The 21,323-nt window shown below is 40.2% G+C and overlaps 1 protein-coding gene across 19 annotated transcripts in view, besides 3 other annotated features; it reads left to right on the plus strand.

The window, feature by feature from the left end:
• PHTF2 (putative homeodomain transcription factor 2) overlaps positions 1-21,323 on the plus strand; it is a 158,732-nt gene that overhangs the window by 18,405 nt on the left and 119,004 nt on the right. The gene's annotated exons all lie outside the window — the stretch shown is intronic.
• Positions 7,149-7,248: an enhancer, noted in NCBI's record as "active region_26209". NCBI's record gives its function as "activates an Ori minimal core promoter by ATAC-STARR-seq in GM12878 lymphoblastoid cells {active_cell/tissue: GM12878}" and the evidence as "EXISTENCE:reporter gene assay evidence [ECO:0000049][PMID:35858748]".
• Positions 13,717-13,776: a silencer, noted in NCBI's record as "silent region_18331". NCBI's record gives its function as "represses an Ori minimal core promoter by ATAC-STARR-seq in GM12878 lymphoblastoid cells {active_cell/tissue: GM12878}" and the evidence as "EXISTENCE:reporter gene assay evidence [ECO:0000049][PMID:35858748]".
• Positions 17,740-18,240: an enhancer, noted in NCBI's record as "H3K27ac hESC enhancer chr7:77464234-77464734 (GRCh37/hg19 assembly coordinates)". NCBI's record gives its function as "activates a minimal SCP1, AML or CMV promoter by ChIP-STARR-seq in naive H9 embryonic stem cells {active_cell/tissue: H9 hESC(naive)}" and the evidence as "EXISTENCE:reporter gene assay evidence [ECO:0000049][PMID:30033119]".

Raw genomic sequence — 21,323 nt, forward strand, 5'->3', positions numbered from 1 at the left:
CCTACCAAATGTGTAAGAGTTCCTTTTTCTCTGCATTCTCATCAGCATTTGTTATTTTCTTGTTTTTTTGACAGTAGCCATTTTAAGTTGATGAGATGGTATCTCATTATGGTTTTGATTTGCATTTCCCTGATGATTAGTGTATTAGTTCGTTCTCACGCTGCTAATAAAGACATACCTGAGCCTGGGTAATTTATAAAGGAAAGAGGTTTAATTGACTCACAGTTGAGCATGGCTGGGGAGGCATCAGGAAACTTAAAATCATGATGGAAGGGGAAGCAAACACATCCTTCTTCACATGGCAGCAGGAGAGAGAAGAATGAGAACCAAGCAAAGGGTGAAGCCCTTTATGAAACCATCAGATCTTGTGAGAACTTACTATCACAAGAATAGCATGAGGGAAACCACCCCAATGATTCAGTTACCTCCCACCAGGTCCTTCCCATGACACACGGGGATTGTGGAAACTACAATTTAAGATGAGATTTGGGTGGGAACACAGAGCCAAACCATATCAATTAGTGATGTTGGGCATTTTTAAATATGTTTATTCGCTACATGTATGTCTTCTTTTGAGAAATGTCTTTAGATTTTTTGCCCATCTTTAAATTGGATTGTTTGTTTTTTGATGTTAAAAAGTTTGAGTTCCGGGCCGGGTGCGGTGGCTCATGCCTGTAATCCCAGCACTTTGGGAGGCCAAGGTGGGTGGATCACGAAGTCAGCAGGTCGAGACCAGCCTGACCAACATGGTGAACCCCCATCTCTACTAAAAATACAAAAAAATTAGCCGGGCATGGTGGCGGGCGCCTGTAATCCCAGCTACTTGGGAGGCTGAGGCAGGAGAATCTCTTCAAACTGGAAGGTGGAAGTTGCAGTGAGCCGAGATTGCACTACTGTACTCTAGTCTGGGCAATGAGAGCAAAACTCCGTCTCAAAAAAAAAAAAAAACAACAGTTTGAGTTCCTTGTATATTCTGGCTATTAATTCCCTGTCCCATGAATAGTTTGCAAATATTTTCTCCTAGTCTATAGGTTATCTTTTTACTCTGTTGATTGTTTCCTTTGCTATGCAAAAGCTTTTTGTTTTTATATAATCTCATTTATTTTTGCTTTTGTTGCCTATGTTTTTGAGGACTTATTCATAAAATCTTTTCCCAGAAACCAATGCCCTGAAGCATTTCTGCTGTTTTCTTTTAATAGTTTTGTAGTTCTGGGTTTTACATTTAGGTCTTTGATTCATTTTGGGGTTGATTTTTGTATAGGATGAGAGATGGGCATCTAGTTTCATTCTTCTGCATATCCAGTTTTCCCAGAAGTATTTATTGAAGAGGCTATCCTTTCCTCAATGAGTGTTCCTGACACCTTTGTCAAAAATCAGTTAACTGTAGATACATGGATTGATTAATTTCTGGGTTCTCTATTCTGTTCCACTGATCTATGTGTCTGTTTTTATGCCAGTACTATGCTGTTTTGGTTACTACGGCTTTGTAGTATATTTGAAAGTCTGGTGGTGTGATGCCTCCTCTTTGTGCTCAGGATTGCTTCAGCTATTCAGAGGCTTTTGTAGTTCCATATGTATTTTGGGATTGTTTTTTCTGTTTCTGTGAAGAAAGTAATTGTTATTTTGACATGTGCATTGACTCTGTAGATTTCTTTGGGTTGTGGGGTCACTTTAATAATATTCTTCTGATCCATATGCATGAGATGTCTTTCATTTGTTTGTATCCTCTTCAGTTTCTTTAATCAGCATTTTATAGTTTTCCTATAGAGGTCTTTCACCTCCTTGTTTAAATTTATTCCTAGGTATTCTTTTGTTGTTGCTGTAGTAAATAAGATTGCCTTTTTTATTTCATTTTCAGCTAGTTGATTGTTTGTGTTTAGAAATGCTACTGATTTGTGAATATTGATACTGTATCTTGCAATTATACTGATTTCATCTATCAGTTCTAAGAGTTTTTGGTATAGTCTTTAAGTTTTTCTATATATAAGATTGTGTCATCTGCAAATAGACATTTTGACTTCCTCCTTTTCAACTTGGTTGCCTATTATTTCTTTCTCTTGACTAATTGCTCCAACTAGGACTTTCAGTAGTATATTGAATAAGAGTTGTGAAAGTAGGCATCCTTGTCTTGTTCTAGTAGTCAGAGGAAACACTTTTGGCTTTTTCCTAGTCAGTATGATGTTAGCTTTGGCTTTGCCATATATGGCCTTTATTATGTTGAGATATTTTCCTTCTATCCCTAATTTGAGAGGTTTTAATCATGAAAGAATGTTGACTTTTATCAAATGCTTTTTCTGTATCTATCAAGATGACCATATGGTTTTTGTCTTTTATTCTATTGGTGTGATGTATGATGTTTATTGATTTGTATTTGTTGAACCGTCCTTGCGTTCCTCAGATAAATTCCCCTGAATCATGATGTATTATCTTTTTGATGTGTTGTTAGATTTGGCTTGCTAATATTTTGTTGAGAATTTTTATGTGTATGTGCATCGAATATATTAGCCTGCAGTTTTCTTCTTTTTGTTGTCTTCTTGTCTAGTTTTGGTTTCAGGGTTATCCAGGCCTCATAGAATGAGTTAGGAAGAATCAGTCTGCTTCAATTTTTTGGAATAATTTGAGAAAAATTGATATTAATTCTTCCCTAAAGGTTCAGTAAAATTCAGCTGTGAAGCCATCCAGTCCTGAACTTTTCTTTTATGGGAGACTTTTTGTTTTGTTTTGTTTTGAGATGGTGTTTTGCTCTTGTTGGCCCAGGCTGGAGTGCAATGGTGTGATCTCGACTCACTGCAACTTCCGCCTCCCAGGTTCAAGTGATTCTCCTGCCTCAGCCTCCTCAGTAGCTGGAATTACAGGCATGCACCACCACACCCGGCTAATTTTGTATTTTTAGTAGAGACTGGGTTTCGCCATGTTGGTCAGGCTGGTCTCAAACTCTCGACCTCAGATGATCTGCCCTCCTCGGCCTCCCAAAGTGCTGGGATTACAGGCGTGAGCCACCGCACCCGGCTTGGGAGACATTTTATTACTGATTCAATCTGGTTACTTGTTATTGGTCTGTTCAGGTTTTCTGTTTCTTCCTGGTTCAATCTTGGTAGGTGTTACGTGTCCAGGAACTTATCTAGTTTCTCTAGGTGTTCAAATTTATTTGTGTATAGTTGTATGTTTTTTTGTTTTATTCTGTTTTGTTTTTTTAGACAGGGTCTCACTGTCTCCCAGGCCAGAGTGCACAGGCGTGATCATAGCTCACTGTAACCTCAAACTTCTGGGTTCAAGCAATCCTCCTGCTCCAGCCTTCTGAGTGGCTAGGACTATAGGTGTGCACCACCATTCCCAGCTAATGTGTGTGTGTGCGTGTGTGTGTGTTTGTGTATACGTATATTAGAGATAGAGTTTTGCTTTGTTGCCCAGGCTGGTCTTGAACTCCTGGAATCAAGTGATCCTTCCTCCCCAGTCTCCCAAAGCAGTGGGATTACAAGCATGAGCCACTGCACTCATCCCAAGTTGTTCATAGTTCAGCATTTCTGTGGTATCTGTTGAAAAGTCTCCTTTTTGATTAAATGGGGAATTTAATCCGTTTACATTCAAGGTGATTATTGATAAGTGAGGCCTTCTCCTGTCATTTTATTGATTGTTTTCTTCTTGTTTTCTATTTCCTTTTTTCCTCTCTTATTGTTTATTTTTGTGGTTGGGTAGTTTTCTGTAATAAGATTTGGTTCTTTTCTCTTTCTTCTTTATCAACTCTACTGGTGAGTTTTATAGTTTCACATGTTTTTATGATGGTGGTTATCATCCTTTTACTTCCAACTGTGAGACTCCCTTGAGCATTTCTTATAAGGCTGGCTTAGTGGTGATGAATTTACTGAGTTTTTGCCTGTCTATGAAAGGTTTTATTTCTCCTTCATTTCTGAAAGATAGCTTTGCTGGATATAATATTCTTGGATGGCAGTTTTTTTTTTTTCTTTTCAATATTTTGAATATATCATCTCATTCTCTGCTGGCCTGTAAGGCTTCTACTGAGAAATCTGTTATTAGTCTAATGGGAATTCCATTGTATGTGACTTGATGTTTTCTCTTGGTTTTAGAATTTCTTTGTGTTTGTCTTTTGACAATTTGAATATATTTTGCCTTGGAGAGGATCTATTTGGGTTGCGTCTATTTGAGGTTCATTGAGCTTCCCGGACCTAGATGTCCATCTCTCTCCCAATATTTGGGAAATTTGCAGCTGTTATTTCATTAAATATGTTTCCTTACCTTTTCCCTTCTCTTCTGCTTGGCTGGCCTGTGGATGTATGTATCTGCTGTAGATGGCCCGTGGGGCTGTTTCTCAGGTTTGGGACATGGGTACAAGGCTGCTCGGGGAGCTCAGGAGTGTGTCCACCATAGATGGCCCTCAGAGCTGTTTCTCAGGCCCTTGACATGGCTTCACAACTTCTTGGCTGGTGTGGGACATGCCCCACATGGAGCTGTTTATAGGCCCAGGAGCAGGCACAGGGCTGCTCAGCCAGCCTGGGAATGAATCTGTCTACCGGGGGGGCCCACAGGACTTTCTCAGGTTTGGGATGCAGATGCAAGGCTGCTTGGCTGGCTCAGGGGTGTGGCTCAGGAGTGAGCCCTCCATAGGCCCACAAGTGATATGTTTGCTAGAGGTGGCCCACAGGGATGTTACTCAGGTCCAGTCATGGGCTCATGGCTGCTTGGATGGGCTGAGGGTATGCCTACCAGGAGCAGCCTGCTGTGCCCAGGGACAGGACTGTTTCTTAGACCTTGATTGCAGGTGGAGAGCTGAGGGCATGTCTGCAGTGGGGGAGTGCTGTAGGGCTGTGTCTCAGGACCTGAGTGCAGATGTGTAGCCTCTCTGCCAGCCCGAGGGATGTATCAGCTGCTTAGAGACGTGGGGGGCACTCTTCCACTTGGAGGGCATATAGCAGTTTTCTCTGGCTCAAGGGCAGGTTTGCCTTAGGTGGGAGTGCCAGACTGTTCCTCTGACTGGAAGTGTGGCAGTGGCAGCAGAGTGTTGGGGAGCAGAGGGGAAGGGAGGTTGGTTTCCCTGCTGTGCAGGACTGGAGTCACAGCCGATCCTGGGCCCAGGCTTTGCATAGTTGGGGTTGTGGTTTTCAGCCACCCATGTGAGTGTGATGGAATGAAGATGGAGCCCCAGTGCTAGAGAAGTTCACTGGCTACTAACCTCCAGAGCAGGGTGCACTCCAGAGGTGGCTCTGGTCTCAAGATGGCACCATGCTGCAGCAGCTTTTCTCACAGGGAGTGGTTGGGTGGGGGAGGGGAGTGTGCACCCTGTGCTCCTAATCTGGGGCAGCGCAGCTGCATGAATTCCTGGCAGCTCTCCAGACTGGGCTTGGGGCTTGCAAGGACTGTGGGATTCTCCTGTAGTAAGGATTGTAGGTGTTTGCAGTGGCAGTGGGGGCTGGTAGGGATCTTCTGCTTACCTTTTCCCTGAAATGGGAAGTCCCTCCTGACTCTGGGCTGATCCAGTCTGGGTTGGGGAGACAGGGCTGCAGTGGCCAGGTACTTCCATGCTGCCCTCCAATCTCATCACGTGCATCTCCAGTTTCTCGCTGCACCCTAGTACTCTCCCATTGACACTCAAGCTGAATCTTAGCTGTTTATGTGATGCCTAGGTTCTTTCTTATTGGGGGGATGAGTGCTGGGTGTCTCTAGTCAGTCATCTTATTGATGTCACCCTCTGAAATTAAAAATATTTAAATCTTTTTTTTTTTTTTTTTTGAGACGGAGTCTCGCTCTGTCGCCCAGGCTGGAGTGCAGTGGCGCGATCTCGGCTCACCGCAAGCTCCGCCTCCCGGGTTCACGCCATTCTCCTGCCTCAGCCTCCCGAGTAGCTGGGACTACAGGCGCCCGCTACCACGCCCGGCTAATTTTTTCTATTTTTAGTAGAGACGGGGTTTCACCGTGTTAGCCAGGATGGTCTCAATCTCCTGACCTCGTGATCCACCCGCCTCGGCCTCCCAAAGTGCTGGGATTACAGGCGTGAGCCACCGCGCCCGGCCAAATATTTAAATCTTAAATTACTCTCTTTTTTTTTGGAGACGGAGTCTCGCTCTGTCGCCAGGCTGGAGTGCAGTAGCATGATCTTGGCTCTCTGCAACCTCTGCCTCCCGGGTTCAAGGGATTCTTCTGCCTCAGCCTCCCGAGTAGTTGGGACTACAGGCACACGCCACCACACCCAGCTAATTTTTGTATTTTTAGTAGAGATAGGGTTTCACCATGTTGGCCAGGATGGTCTCGATGTCTTGACCTCGTGATCCACCCATCTTGGCCTACCAAAGTGTTGGGATTACAGGCCTGAGCCACCGTGCCTGGCCTGAATCTTAAATTACTCTTTAAGTAGTGGAGTTATTTGAACACCATGGCTTATATGTTCTCACAATTTAATTTCCTTAGAAGGAATTGAGGTAACTTTTCAAATAGATCAGAACAAGGAGAAAGTTATTTTAGACAAGGAATATTACCTGGAGTAGAAGGCAGGCATGAAAGTATATGGTATATTTGTGAACCTGTGTAGCTAGAATGTAAGGTATGTGTAGCTAGAATGTATGGATGGGAGGTTGGGGAGGGCGGGTAATTGAAACTGTGTGAAACAAAGTAGAGACGATAGATGCTACTGACTGGAGAAATAATAAATCTATGGTCAAATTGTAAAAGAAGGGTTTTGAATACAGTGTTGATTAAACTCTTTTCTTTGGCAGTGGGAGACTAGAGATTTTTAAGTGATGAGGTCAGTATTTTAAAAAGATAAGTAGTGAAAGTAAAGCAACAATAATAGATTGTTAGTGTAGTCCTGGTATTAGATATCAGCTTGTACCAGGTGTATGGTAGTGGGGCTGGAGAGGGATCATATGAGAGAAGTTTGGAGGTATGACAAATACGTTATATTAATTTATTCCTTCATAATTATTGAGTGGTTTCTGTGTGCCAGGTATAGAATTGATAGTGGTGGGAGGTGGGAAAGGGGAGGAAACAAGAAAGATTCTAGGGTTCTTTGTTGGAAAATTGAGCAGATAGTAAAAGATAAGATTTGAGGAGGGAAAATACATCCTGGTTTGTTTTTTTTTTTTTTCTTGGAGGTAGTTGTAACAAATTCACGGAAGAGCTTAGTTTATGATCTTGTGTTTTTTGCTTAGTATCTTGAGTTTATAAAAAGAATTGAAACTGGGTATCCTCCCTTTACTTCCTTTTGTTAGAAATAGCAGAAGTAAAAGTGCAGCTGTTGTTAGTTTAGAATCTCATCTTAGAATATTTAAATTTTACTTTTAGGCTGGAGTGCAGTGGTGCAATCTCGGCTCACTGCAACCTCCACTTCCTGGGTTCAGGCAATTCTCCTGCCTCAGCCTCCTGAGAAGCTGGGATTACAGGTGTGCACCACCATGCCTGGCTAATTTTTGTATTTTAGTAGAGATGTTTCACCATGATGGCCAGGCTGGTCTTGAACTCCTGACTTCGTGATCTGCCCGCCTTGGCCTCCCAAATAAATTTAACTTTTTAATTGAGTCAGTAATGTAAAAGATTAAGTACTTAAATGTTAAAAGAAGTAAAATGGCAAGCACAGTGGCTTACTCCTGTAATCCTAACATTTTGGGCTGCCAAGGTGGGAAGATTGTTTGAGACCAGGAGTTCAAGGCCAGCCTGGACAACATAGCAAGACCCCACCTCTACCAAAAAAAAAAAAACGTTAGCCGAGTGTGGTGGCACACACCTGTAGTCTTAGCTACTTGGGAGGCTGAGAAAGGGAGGAACACTTGAGACCCCAGGAGTTTGAGGTTGAAGTGAGCCATGATTGTGCCACTGCATTCCAGCCTGGGTGACAGAGCGAGCCTCTGTCTCTAAATAACAACAACAACAATAATATAAATGAGAGATTTCTGAGTAAAAATGAAGTGGGGTCACAGATTTTTTCTTCACTAAAACCAAATTAAGGAAAGAGTAGATGGTGGGTTGAAGAAAGAGGGCAGAAATGGAAAGAAGCAGACAAAAAAGGGGTATCTGTAGCTTTATACCAAATACTTCAAAAAGTGGAAGGTAAAGAAAGAATGAGAAGATACTAGTTGTATATGACAAGGCTTCTAATCCCAGCCCCGTATCCCAGAAACAAGACAAAGGAAAGAGGAAGCCTACAAAATATTGCGATATCTCATTCATACTTTTAGAGAAGTAGACCTAGGAGGTGAATAGGAAGCAAAAAGTCAAGGAAAAATCCTTGAGAAGACCCTACATACCAGCGCTGAGCCTCAGCAGAGGCAACAAGCACTGGCATTTTGAATGGTACTCTGAGTTAAGGGCAAGAGCCAAAGCCCATGAAGGTAGGCTAGATCCCTAACTAGGGAGATCAGTCTTGGTACAGGACATTTAAGGACACCTCAGCAATGCCTGTGCTCAGTCCAATTTTAGCTCTTCCTTTTCTGTGTCGTTGGATTATAGAAAAGTAGATTAAGAGTAGTTCCTGATTCTCAAACTGAAGTTTGTGTGTGTATGCATAAAGACGTGTACACAAAAATAAAAATGGCCCCAACTAAGATGAGAAAGGTGTTAGGGGTGGCCGAGCAGAATCTTGGATATCAGAGTGAATAGGAGCTGAGGATAGCAGTTTCTGTATTAAACGTGATAAAAAAAATAGCATGGCAACTCTACAAATATAGGAGAAAAATAAACGAAAGAAGTAACTCTGAAAAGACTGTCCTAGGTAAGAATAGCTGATATCCCTAAAATAGAGACTTCAACAAATGGAACAGAAAAAGTATTGAGAAATAAAATCCAGACAAAAGCTTTTGAAATGAAATGTGTATTTGCAGATTGACAGGCACACTAAATGCTAGGAAAAAAATATGAAATGATTAAAATTGACCATATCCTAGTAGTTTTTAACTTCAAAACTAAGGAGAGAATTATTTTGGTATCCTGGCCAAAAAGAGAAAAACATGACCTATATACAAAGAGAAAAAAATTCAAGATGGAGAATTATTTTGTTATCCTGGCCAAAAAGAGAAAAACATGACCTATACAAAGAGAAAAAAATTCAAGATGGCTGAATTTTAATTTCTCAATTATTGTCAATTCCAGAAGACAATGGAAAAATGTTTACAAAGTTTTGACGGTAGGAAGTTGTCAACCAGAAGTATTATACCCAACAGTATCAGTTAGATTTCTTTTGGCTGCTAATAACAGTGGCTTAAACTATAAGGATTTATAACCTTGGGTACAAAAAGTATGGAAATAGTCAGTCTAGAACTAGTATGGTGGCTTCACCCAAGGCAACCCAGGATCTTTCCTATCTATGAACACACCTGGTTTCTAGTCTCAATGTCACTGTCCATGGTGGCTGCTGGAGCTGTCGTCATTAAAATAACATTGAAAGGATCAGGAAAAGGGAGAAGAGAAAGAAAAAAAGTGCTTTTCCCAACTACAAGTACTACCCAACACTTTTGGTGGTGTTTGGAGCAGAACTTAGTCTTGGCCACATCTAACTGCAAGAAAGGTTAGGAAAGGTCTTTATTTTGGGCAACAGGGTGCCAGCACAATTTTCAAAGAGGATGATGGAATAATGGGTGTCAATTAGCAGTCTCTGCCATGCCAACCAAGTGGTTAATCAAATACACAGGAAGCAAGCAGATGTTCTCTAACATGTAAGAGCACAGAGAATATAGCACTCCTTTCTTGAAAAATACTGCTTGATGATTAAATCAAGTCAACCTCAAATGAAACAAAATTAAATAGTGATGACTTCAGGTATGGCAAAGCCATCTTAAAAGAATCGGGGGTGATCATCAGATCCATTTAAATACAGAAGAAAATGGAACAACTTTGAGAATGGTGGCTGTGGAATAAAATCTAAATGTTAGATCTTTGGAGAAGTATAAGCATGTTGATTATGTCTGCTTTCATAGCAGGAAGTCATGGATACCATGTAAAGTTGAACATGTAGATAAAAGTTAAAATCACTGTGGATTTATTAAAGAATGATTTTTGTCACTTTTTTCTTTTGTTTTGATGGCTCTATAAGCTAAGGAAACTTTTTTCTAAATGTTAGGAGGAACTTTTAAGACCTAAATAACTCGTGTGGCAAGACATCTGAAGTTCATGAGTTCTTCCAGTTTTCATTTTCTTTTCTTAGAATTCGTGGAAAATTAAATTAATATTTTATTTTTATTTATTTATTCTTTTTGAGACGGAGTCTCACTCTGTCACCCAGGCTAGAGTGTGGTGGTGCAGTCTCGGCTCATCGTGACCTCTGCCTCCCGGGTTCAGGCAGTTATTTGCTTCATCCTCCTGAGTAGCTGGGATTACAGGCACCTGCCACCACGCCCGGCTAGTTTTTGTATTTTTAGTAGAGATGGGGTTTCACCATCTTGGCCAGGCTGGTCTTGAACTCCTGACTTCATGATCTACCTGCCTTGGACTCCCAGAGTGCTGGGATTACAGGTGTGAGCCACTGCGTGCAGCCTTTTTTTTTGAGATGGAGTTTCGCTGTTTCACCCAAGCCAGAGTGCACTGGTGTGACCGCAGCTCACTGTCTGCTCCTCCCAGGTTCAAGCGATTCTCCTGCCTCAGGATCCCAAGTAGCTGGGATTACAGGTGCCAGCCACCATGCCTGGCTAATTTTTGTATTAGTTTTTAGTAGAAACTGAGTTTCACCATGTTGGTCAGGCTGATCTCAAACTCCTGACCTTAAGTGATCCACCTGACTTAGCCTCCCAAAGTGCTGGGATTACAGGTGCGAGCCACGGAGCCCAGCCTCAATAGTATTTTTGATGATGAGGTATTGTTAGCAAATTTTAATCTCTAAATTAAGTCATTTTTAAGGTCTGTTAACTCTTTAAGCCGTTTAGTTAACTCTTTAAGCCATTTAGATATCATTTAGTCCATTACTATTTTGATAAAGAGTACTTGGAACACTAATTTAGAACGTTTCTGCTGAAGACCAGTAATAACATGTCCATGTTTGAATTGAGCCTGATAGGTTGGTGGTAAAACTTTCCTGTGAGTAAATGAGGAAGTTAAACCATTTAAATGGATCATATTTCATTACTGATTTTTCTAAGCAGCACAGCAGTCAAATAAAACAAAAAGCCAATACATTATAATTAGCTATTTAAAGGACCTTTAAGTACTTAACAAAACAAAAAACCCAAAGAATGCTCAAGGAATGGTAGAGTAAATTAATTCATCTGTGGTGGTACTTTGGTTGGTAATAGTAATATTGAAGTTAAGGAACCCTGAAATTTAAAAAGTTGCTTTAAAAGACATATCAGGTGGGTTGATTGTGCCCATCAGGAAATTCTGCAGAGGGCTTTGTGGTTAGTATCAAGATTATAACTCTAGGCTGGGCGCAGTGGCTTACATCTGTAATTCCAGCACTTTGGGAGGCTGAGGCAGGCAGATCACTTGAGGTCAAGAGTTCAAGACCAGCTTGGCCAACATGGTGAAACCCTAAAAATTCAAAATACAAAATTTATATAGGAAAAAGATAGCAACATATATGTTTGGTACTATCTGCTAAAAATACAAAAATTAGCTGGGCGTGGTGGTGCGCACCTGTAATCCCAGCTACTCGGGAGGCTGAGGCACAAGAATTGCTTGAACCCAGGAGGCGGCAGTTTCAGTGAGCCGAGATTGCACCACTGCACACCGGCCTGGGTGACAGGGCGAGACTCCATCTCAAAAAAAATAAAATTATAACTCTAGGCTGGTCGTGGTGACTCACACCTATAATCCTAGTACTTTGGGATGCCAAGGCAGGAAGATTGCTTGAAGTCAGGAGTTTGAGACCAGCCTGGACAACAAAGTGAGACCCGGCCCCACAAGAAGTTAAAAAATAAAAAATATTAGCCAGGTGCGATGGTGTCCACCTGTAGTCCCAGCTACTCGAGAGGCTGAGGTGGAGGAACACTTGAGCCCAGGAGTTTGAGGCTACAGTGAAATATGATTTCACCATTGAACTCCAGCCTAGGTGGCAGAGTGAGACCCTGTCTCCTAACAAAGAGATTATAGCTATAGGGATTCACTTAGATTTTGTAACAGCACAAAACACTTTTATTTAGTACGGGTATAGAGAGATGTTACTTGCCTGTAGTTTTTTCTTCTTAGATTATGTATCATCTTCTAGCCCAAAGTACACAGACTATGCATTGGTTCCATTAAGGAAAATAAAAATTACAAATATTCTTTTTATGACTGGTATAATAGAAAATGTATAGCTGTTTATTAGACCTTATTTTGCATTTTGTTTAAAATTACAACTTTGACCATAAAACGTGTGGTGTTTATTCTTTCAAATATTTCCATGAAATATTATCCTCCTTCCAGATGAAGAATTAAAATTGTTCTTATAAGTTGTAATAATTTATAGATCACATGATTACAAAGTAGGAACCCTGAAACTAGTAGAAGATTTCATTCTTTTTGTTTAGCTTTTGTATCATTATGAAAGATGTGATTTGAACCTTAACATTTATTACCCTTTAAGGGCAGAGCAACTTTGTTCCCAGTTTTCAAGGTCTAAAAATTTCTTGTTTTGGTTGTGGTGAAGGCAACTGAGTTATATTTAACTTTAGCATTTAGGAATGGTGTTAGACTAGACTTTAACTTATTTTCATTAGACCTTTTAGATCTGCAATATGTAAAACCTTTTAAATCTTAATGTATTGGTGACTGAGTGACATGTCAGTAAATAAATGAACCATGTTTATTATACTTCATGATATCTTTGTACCCTTTAATGTTATGAAAAAGTATGTTTGTTTATGTGCATGTTGGGGGAGTACAGGAGTTGGACAGGTAGAGTTTTCAATTCTAGCCCTCAAATTCATCTGTGGTGGTACTTTGGCAACTTTTTAATATGGTGTGTAAACATTTGTGTTTAATATAGGCGAAAAGTTTTAGGAAAATTCAGAGATAATAAAGACATTGGACTGCTCTCAAAGAACGTGTGGGTGGGAGGTGGGGGCACATACAGATAAGTACACTAAAGTCTATATAAAACAATATAGTAAGTACACAGCAGTCCCCCTTATCTGTGAGGGTTATATTCCAAGATCCCCAATGGAAACCTGAAGCCACAGATAGTACCAAACCTATATTTGCTGTGTTTTTTTCCTGTATATACATACTTATGATAAAGTTTATATTATAAATTAGGTACAGTAAGACAGGGTCCCCAACCAGTTGGTCTGCGGCCTGGTAGGAACCGTGGGCTGCACTACGGGAGGTGAGCCAGTGGGCAAGTGAGCGAAGCTTCATCTGTATTTACAGCTGCCTCCCATCACTTCCATTACCATCTGAGCTCTGCCTCCTGTCAGATCAGCAGCGGCATTAGATTCTCATAAGAGTGCGAACCCTATTCTCAGCTGTGTATGTGAGAGATCTCGGTTGCATGCTTCTTATGAGAGTCTAATGCCTGATTGTCTGAGGTGGAGTTGAGGCAGTGATGCTTGCGCTGGGGAGCAGCTGCGAATACAGATTAACGTTAGCAGAGAGGTTTGACTGCACAGAGATCATAATAAATAAATTGCTTGCAGACCCATATCAAAACCCTGTCAGTGAGTTGAGTGCTTCATTTGTACAGCTGCATCTGGTGACAGGCTTTAAGTCAGAATCCAACACTTAATTTTAGTCCATGCATGACCCGCCCATTATTTTACTTACCTTATCCGTCCACATTTCTTTGTCACACTGGGCACTTACCTCAGTCACAGATTTGGTTAAGCCCACAAGCTAACCTTAGCCAAAATGAGTAAATAACAAAACATTACTAGAGAGCTTCTTTGTAAAGGGGGAAGACCCAATGATGAGACAGCAGAAGACTCTTAAGACTGCCAACAAAAAGAAAGCTGCATTTAAAAGAAAACACCAAGAGTCCCACTTAAATTATGGGTTCATTGCAACAGGTGATTCACATTCTCTAGGCCTGCTTTGTGTATGTGGTGACTGGCTATCCAACAAGCCATGAAACCTTCAAAAGTGCTTTGTCACGTGGAGACCACTTATCCTGCATTGAAAGACAAGGCTTTGGAGTTTTTCAAAAGAAAAAAACGTGAACATGAAGAACAGAAGCAATTATGGAAGGCCACCACTTCATCAAGTGTGTCTGCACTGAGAGTATTATTCTTAGCGGCTAAAGCATTGCTAAAGCTAAGAAGCCGTTTACTATTGGTGAAGAGTTGATCCTGCCTGCTTGCTGTTAAGGACATTTGTTACGAACTTTTAGGAGAGGCTGCAGTTCAGAAGGTGGCACATGTTCTTTTTTCAGCTAGTACCATAACTAGATTATTTGATGAAATAGAGGATATTGAGGCACAATTGTTAGGATTAATGAGTCACCATGGTGTGTAATCCAGGTTGACAAGTCTACTGACGTTGACAACAAGGCAGTAATGCTTGTTTTTGTGTGATACACTTCTCAGGAGGACGTGCATGAGGGTATGTTATGTGCCCTTTTGTTGCCAACCAATACCACAGCTGTAGAACTGATTTGGTAATTTTGTGTTGGTATATGCATGAACAGAGCACGGCTGCCATGACTGGACAGCTTTCTGGTTTCACTACTTGGGTCAAAGAGGTTGCTTCTGAATGCGAGTCTACGCACTGTGTCATCCGTAGAGAAATGCTGGCTAGGCACAAAATGTCACCGAAACTTAACCAACATTTTGCAGGATGTGATTAAAATTATCCACATTAAAGTACGTGCCCTTAGTTTATGTCTGTCTGTGCAGCTCTGTGAGGAAATGGATGCAGAGCACACACAGCTTCTCTTATATGCAGAAGTAAGATGGCTTTCTAAGGTAGATCACTGGCCAGAGGTTTTGAGTTACAAGGTCTCTCCAGAGATTTTTTTTTTTTTTTTAGAAAAATAGTTATCACTGGTAGCACATTTCAGTGATGCAGAATGGGTCACAAAACTTGCTTACTTGTGTGACATATTCAACCTGCTCAAAGAACTCAGCTTGTCACTTCAGGGGAGAATGACAAATGTGTTCGAGTCAGTAGATAAAGTGGCTGCATTCAAAGCCAAACTGGAATTGAGTGAACATTGAGGGATTTTTTTTGACATGCTTCAAACATTAACAGAGATTTTTAAAGAGACTCAGCCAGGACCTTCTTTCTCCCAGCTGGTGCATGATCACCTATCTCAGCTTTCAAAAGAGTTTGAGCATTACTTCCCAACCACAGAAGACCCCCGAACTGGGAAGTAATGGATCCACAAGCTGTTTGTGAATAAGCCAGCTGTATCGACTTTGTCCGTGCTAGAAGAGGATCAACTGCTTAAGGTCACAAATGATGGTGGCCTTAAAAGTATGTTTGAGACAACTTCAAATCTCCATACATTCTGGATTAAAGTCAAGGCGGACTATCCTGAGATTGCCACAAAACACTGAAAAGTCTGTTTCCATTTCTAACATCGTATCTTTGTGAAGCAGGGTTTTCTGTAGTATAGTTAACAGCAACCAAAATGAGATTATGGAATAGACTGGACATAAACAATACACTTTGGGTGTCACTGTCTTCCATCATCCCCAGATGGGACCATCTAGTTGCAGGAAAACAAGCTCAGGGCTCCCACTGATTCTATGTTATGGTGAGTTGTATAATTATTTCATTATATATTATAATGTAATAATAATAGAAATAAAGTATACAATAAATGTAATGCTCTCGAATCATCCCAAAACCATCCCCCCTACCCTGGCCATGGAAAAATTGTCTTCCACAAAACCAGTCCCTGGTGCTAAAAAAGGTTGGGGACTGCTGCAAGTAAGAGATAGATAATAACTAATAATAAAATAGGACAATCGTAACAGTATACTCTAATGAAAAGTTATGGAATTTGGTCTCTGTCTCCAAATATTTTACTGTACTGCAGTTACTGCAGTAACTGAAATGTGGAAAGCAAAGCCTTGGATAAAGGGAGTGCTACTCTAAGGGGAACACAGAACAGGATGAGAAATATTAAATGGAAGAATTTGGGAGAAACTTATGGAGAAAGTGGAATTTTGGAAGTCTTGTCAAAATCTTCCTTGTTTTAGAAAGAGAAGTGTTAATTTTGGCACAGAGGTAGAAAAATGTTGAAAGTATGGGATGGTTGAAACAAGACATATGAGAAGATGATGAGCAATAATGTTGGACAATTAAGGTCAGATTGTAGAGAGTCTAAATACTTGTGGATTTTATTTTGTAAGCAGCAGAGAATGATACAAGGTTGTTGGAATGGAATAATAATATGAGAGTCTGAGGAGATTTATAAAAACTACCTTTAAAAAATTAAAAGCTCTTTAGGGCCAAGCGCAGTGGCTCACACCTGTAATCCCAGCACTTGGGGAGGCTGAGGTAAGAAGATTGCTGAAGACAGCAGTTCAAGACCAGCCTGGGCAGCATAATGAGACTCCATCTCTCTCTACAAAAGATTTAAAAAATAGCCTAGTTTGGTGGCATGCAACTTTTTGTGTGATATACTTCTCAGCAGGATGTGCATGAGGATATGTTATGTGCCCTTTTGTTGCTGAGTCTAGCTACTTGGGAAGCTAAGGCAGGACAGTCACCTGAGCCCAGGAGTTTGATGTTACAGTGAGCTATGATCAAGCCACTGCACTTCAGTCTGGGTGACAGTGAGACCCTATCTCTAAAAATAAATTAAATAAGATATTTTTTATTTAGTTTAACAGTTTCTACTATGTTAAATTCCATATATGTAACACTAATTTAAGTAGTAATATTAATGTTTTTGGGTGTGTTAGAATTCAGAGAAACTTCTGTACATTATTGGAATTGGTGACCTGAAAGGAAGAAGCTGGAGCAAAATTAATACAATTAGAGGGTTTATTTGAATCAAGCTTGAGGATTGCAACTGGGAGCACAGATTTGAGTTGCTCTGAATATACCCTCTGATTAGCAGCAGTTAAAAGTGCATTTTTCCAGCCTGGACAACATAGCCAGACCTCGTGTCTGCTAAAATTAAAAAAAATTAGCCAGGCATCATGGTACATGCCTATAGTCACAGCTATTTTGGGGGCTGAGGCAGAAGGATCACTTGAGCTGGGAAGTCGAAGCTGCCGTGAGCCCTGATCGTGCCACTGCACTCCAGCCCGGGCAACTGAGTGAGACCTTGTCTCAAAAAAAAAAAAAAAAAAAAAAATTTTAAACGGAAGGAAGAAGCAGTTCCTGAGTTGTTTACTGAGAATTTATGTTAAAATAACATAAACTGTTGATTGGCTATACATTGTTCTTTGTATCACAAATTCCAGAAACATGAAGATAAATGAGTGAGGCAGCTAGTCAGGAAGAAAATGACTTTAAACAGTTGCCCCCAGGCTTGGGTGTAGGGGCTTGACTCAAGTCCTATACTCACGTGTCTGTGCTTGCCTACCTCACATGGCTCAGACTGCTCGGAGCTCTTTTTCTTTTCACACAATTGTTATTTAACCTTTATTGAGTTGTGGAATATCTGGCTAGATGGCACTTGGGGAAAACTGAGGTCCAGAGAACTCAGTAACTTATTCAAGAGCACACAGCTCTTAGTATCAGAACTTGGATCTAGAACCCAATTATCTTGATGCTTAGTCATTGCTTTTTATCTGCTGTACTTCCTGTACCATATATTACAGTGTACTGAGTACTTAGAGACAAAGAATGTTGCCACATTTTTTCCTTAAGAGTGTTTACATATGACCAAGTGACCTGTGTGGCCACATACTGCTTTACATTTCTATTTAAATTACAGATTTTTGAGCATATGTTGGTGCTAGAAGAGAGACATTAAGCTTCAGCATTTTTTAGTCCAAAGGAAAGCTGGCCGGGTGCGGTGGCTCATGCCTGTAATTCCAGCACTTTTGGAGGCCGAGGCGGGCGGATCACCTGAGGTCAGGAGTTCGAGACCAGCCTGGCCAACAGGGTGAAACCCTGTCTCTACTAAAAATACCAAAAATTAGCCAGGCGTGGTGGTGGGCGCCTGTAGTCCTAGCTACTGAGGAGGCTGAGACAGGAGAATTGCTTGAACCTGGGAGGCGGAGGTTGCAGTGAGCCGAGATCACACCATTGCACTCCAGCCTGGGCAACAAGAGCAAAACTCCGTCTCAAAAAAAAAAAAAACAAGAAAAAAAAAAGAAAGCTTCATCTTGGAGGAAGTAGGATTTGAGCTGATTTAGAAGGATGTATGAGTGGAGAAAAGAATGGAATAGGAATAATAATAACACACGCAAAGTGTCAGGGGTGGAAATACATTGTTTTCTGAGCCTAGTGAGAGTCATGCCAGAACAGACAAATTTGTTTCAGAATAATGAGAGATGTACATGGTAACATTTATGTAGTATTTGATAGAATTTCTGTAACATGGGGATTGGTTAAAAATCTGACAATGTGGGAGACCATATTTGTACAAAGAATACTCATAGGCATTATTATACTGTTGACCCTTGAACAATTGGGGTTAGGGATACTGACCCCTGTGCTGTGGAAAATTTGGCTGTAACTTTTGAATCCCCCAAAATTTAACTACTAATAGCCTACTGTTGACAGGAAGTCTTACTAATAACATAAACAGATAACACATATTTTATATGTTATATGTTTATATACTGTATAATTACAATAAAGTAAGCTAGAGAAAAAGTGTTATTAAATTGTAAAGAAGAGAAAATAGGCCGGGCACAGTGGCTCACACCTGTAATACCAGCACTTTGGGAGGCTGAGACGGGAGGATCACCTGAGGTCCGGAGTTTGAGACCAACCTGACCAACATGGAGAAACCCTGTCTCTACTAAAATTACAAATTAGCCGGGTGTAGTGGCGCATTCCTGTATTCCCAGCTACTCGGGAGGTTGAGGCAGGAGAATCGCTTGAACCCTGGAGGCAGAGGTTGCGGTGAGCTGAGATCACGCCATTGCACTCCAGCCTGGGTAACAAGAGCGAAAACTCCATCTCAAAAAAAAAAAAAAAAAAAGAAGAGGAAGAAGAAGAGAAAATACATTTACTATTCTTTAAGTGGAAGTGGATCATGATAAAGGTCTTCATCCTTGTCATCTTCACACTGAATAGGTTGAAGAAGAGGAGGGGTTGGTTTTCCCTTCCTGGATAGCAGAGGCAGAAGAGGTAAAGGAGGTGAAAGGGGAGGCAGGAGTATCAGGCACACTTGGTATAACTTTTATTGAAAAAATCCACATGTAAGCGGACCAGCGCAGCTTACCCACCATGTTGTTCAACTGTATTTGATTGAGATTCCGTAAAGGCAGACTTAACATACCATCTCTTCTGTACTCATCTTTTCCCACCACCCTGGTCTTTGGCATTTTGTGTGGAAATCAATACAGCAAATAAAGACACATGCACACATATGTTTATTGTGGCACTGTTCACAATAGCAAGGACTTGGAACCAACCCAAATGCCCATCAGTGATAGACTGGATAAAGAAAATGTGGCACAGGTACAACATGGAATACTATGCAGCCATAAAAAAGGATGTCCTTTGCAGGGACATGGATGATGCTGGAAACCATCATTCTCAGCAAACTAACACAAGAACAGAAAACCAAATGCTGCATGTTCTCACTCATAAGTGGGAGTTGAACAGTAAGAACACATGGAGACAGGGAGGGAAACATCATACACCAGGGCCGGTCGGGGTGGGGGGCTTGGGGAAGGATAGCGTTAGGAGAAATACCTAATGTAGATGACAGGTTGATGGGTGCAGCAAACCACCATTGCACGTGTATACCTATGTAACAAACCTGCACATTCTGCACATGTACCCCAAAACTTAAAGTATAATAAAAAAAGCAAAAAAAAAAAAAAAAGAATTTCAGATATTTTGTTAAGGTGTGACAATTAAATCTATGTCAAGGATAGTGTTAGCTTAGAGTTAACTGCCTAATGTTATGCCTGCAGTTAGCCCTATGGTTTTAGGATTGGATTATTTCTAAATAAATAAAGATTATGCATCATAATACCCATCCTTGTATCAGATCAGTTGATCAAAAAAGATTAAGATCCTCTATTAAAGGTCCCCAGTAGGTTTTTTATGCTTTTTTCTGTAAATAAACTTTAATATGATCATTTAACATTAAACCTGAGCTATCATGACAATACAGTCTATGAACCTGTATTCCTGGACTGTCATAGAATCAAAGAAGTTGGAAAGGCTTTAGAAATAATCTTCATTATTCCTGAAATAATTTGACTTGTTAATCCTTGTTGATTATACCCACGTGTAATTGGGTATCTTTGAGTGCTTTGTCAGATAGCTGGTTCAGAAATCTATCTTAGCATGCTGTAAAACCTGTTTTAAAAATAGGTATGAGCCATTCAGTGTGACTGAAAGGTTGTTGACACAATGGAAAAACTATTAAATGAGTTTGCACAGAAAATCACCATTACTGAAGAAAGGTTTTTTTATTTTAAACAGAAAATTCGTTGAATTTTTATTTCTATAGACCCAAATAAATACAGTTTAAAATATTTAGAACACTTTATATAACTAGAATACTGTTAGATTTTTGGTATTTATCTAAGTGTAGCTTGGTAAACAAATATATAAAGTCTTTGCGATTATTTTCTTGTGAGGCAGGCAGTGTTTTTCAAACTTTCATTTGAGCTTTTTCTTTTAAAAAATACTATTATTTATATGTGAACATTTAAATATTCCCTAAATATATTAAATATCTGATATGTTTAATAGAGTGATAAAATCCTTTCACGTTTTGTGTATGAAATGTATATTATTTACATTGTTGGGGGTTAGGAAAGAGGATCTTTATTTTGTTAGATAATCTGGAATATTTGTCAATAAAGATTGGGTAAAGTGAAAAGAGGGTAAAGTGAAAAGTTGATATTCTCATATTTTTGTACCATTTTTCATAGTTTGCTTGAGGGGATAGGTTATAACCAATCTGGAAAGCATTCACAGTTGTCATGACAAACAAATACAATGAAGGTGTAGTGTGTATTGAATAGTCCCCTAGCAAAATCAGTGGGGCAAACCTCTGGGATACAAGGTGGTTGAAGTTAATAAATCATACTCAAAGGCTTCCAGGACAGAAAAACAAAAATGGGAGATTTTAAGTCAGTAAGGGAAAGCTTCCTCAAAAAACCCTCGTGAGAGAAATGAAGATAGCCACACCTGACTGAGAAATTAAGTGGAGGTGAACTTTGAAATCTGTAAATAATCCATGTGTATGTAATTGAGAATTGACATTGTGACCTTATGATAATTGGATAGCTATTTTTATTTTCAATGTGAACAAAAACTGATTGCATGTATTTCTCCTTAAACTGCTATGTTTAAAAAAGGAAATATAAATACTTCTA

The sequence above is a fragment of the Homo sapiens genome, chromosome 7 (genome assembly GCF_000001405.40).
Source record: "Homo sapiens chromosome 7, GRCh38.p14 Primary Assembly".
Taxonomy (NCBI): Eukaryota; Metazoa; Chordata; class Mammalia; order Primates; family Hominidae; genus Homo; species Homo sapiens.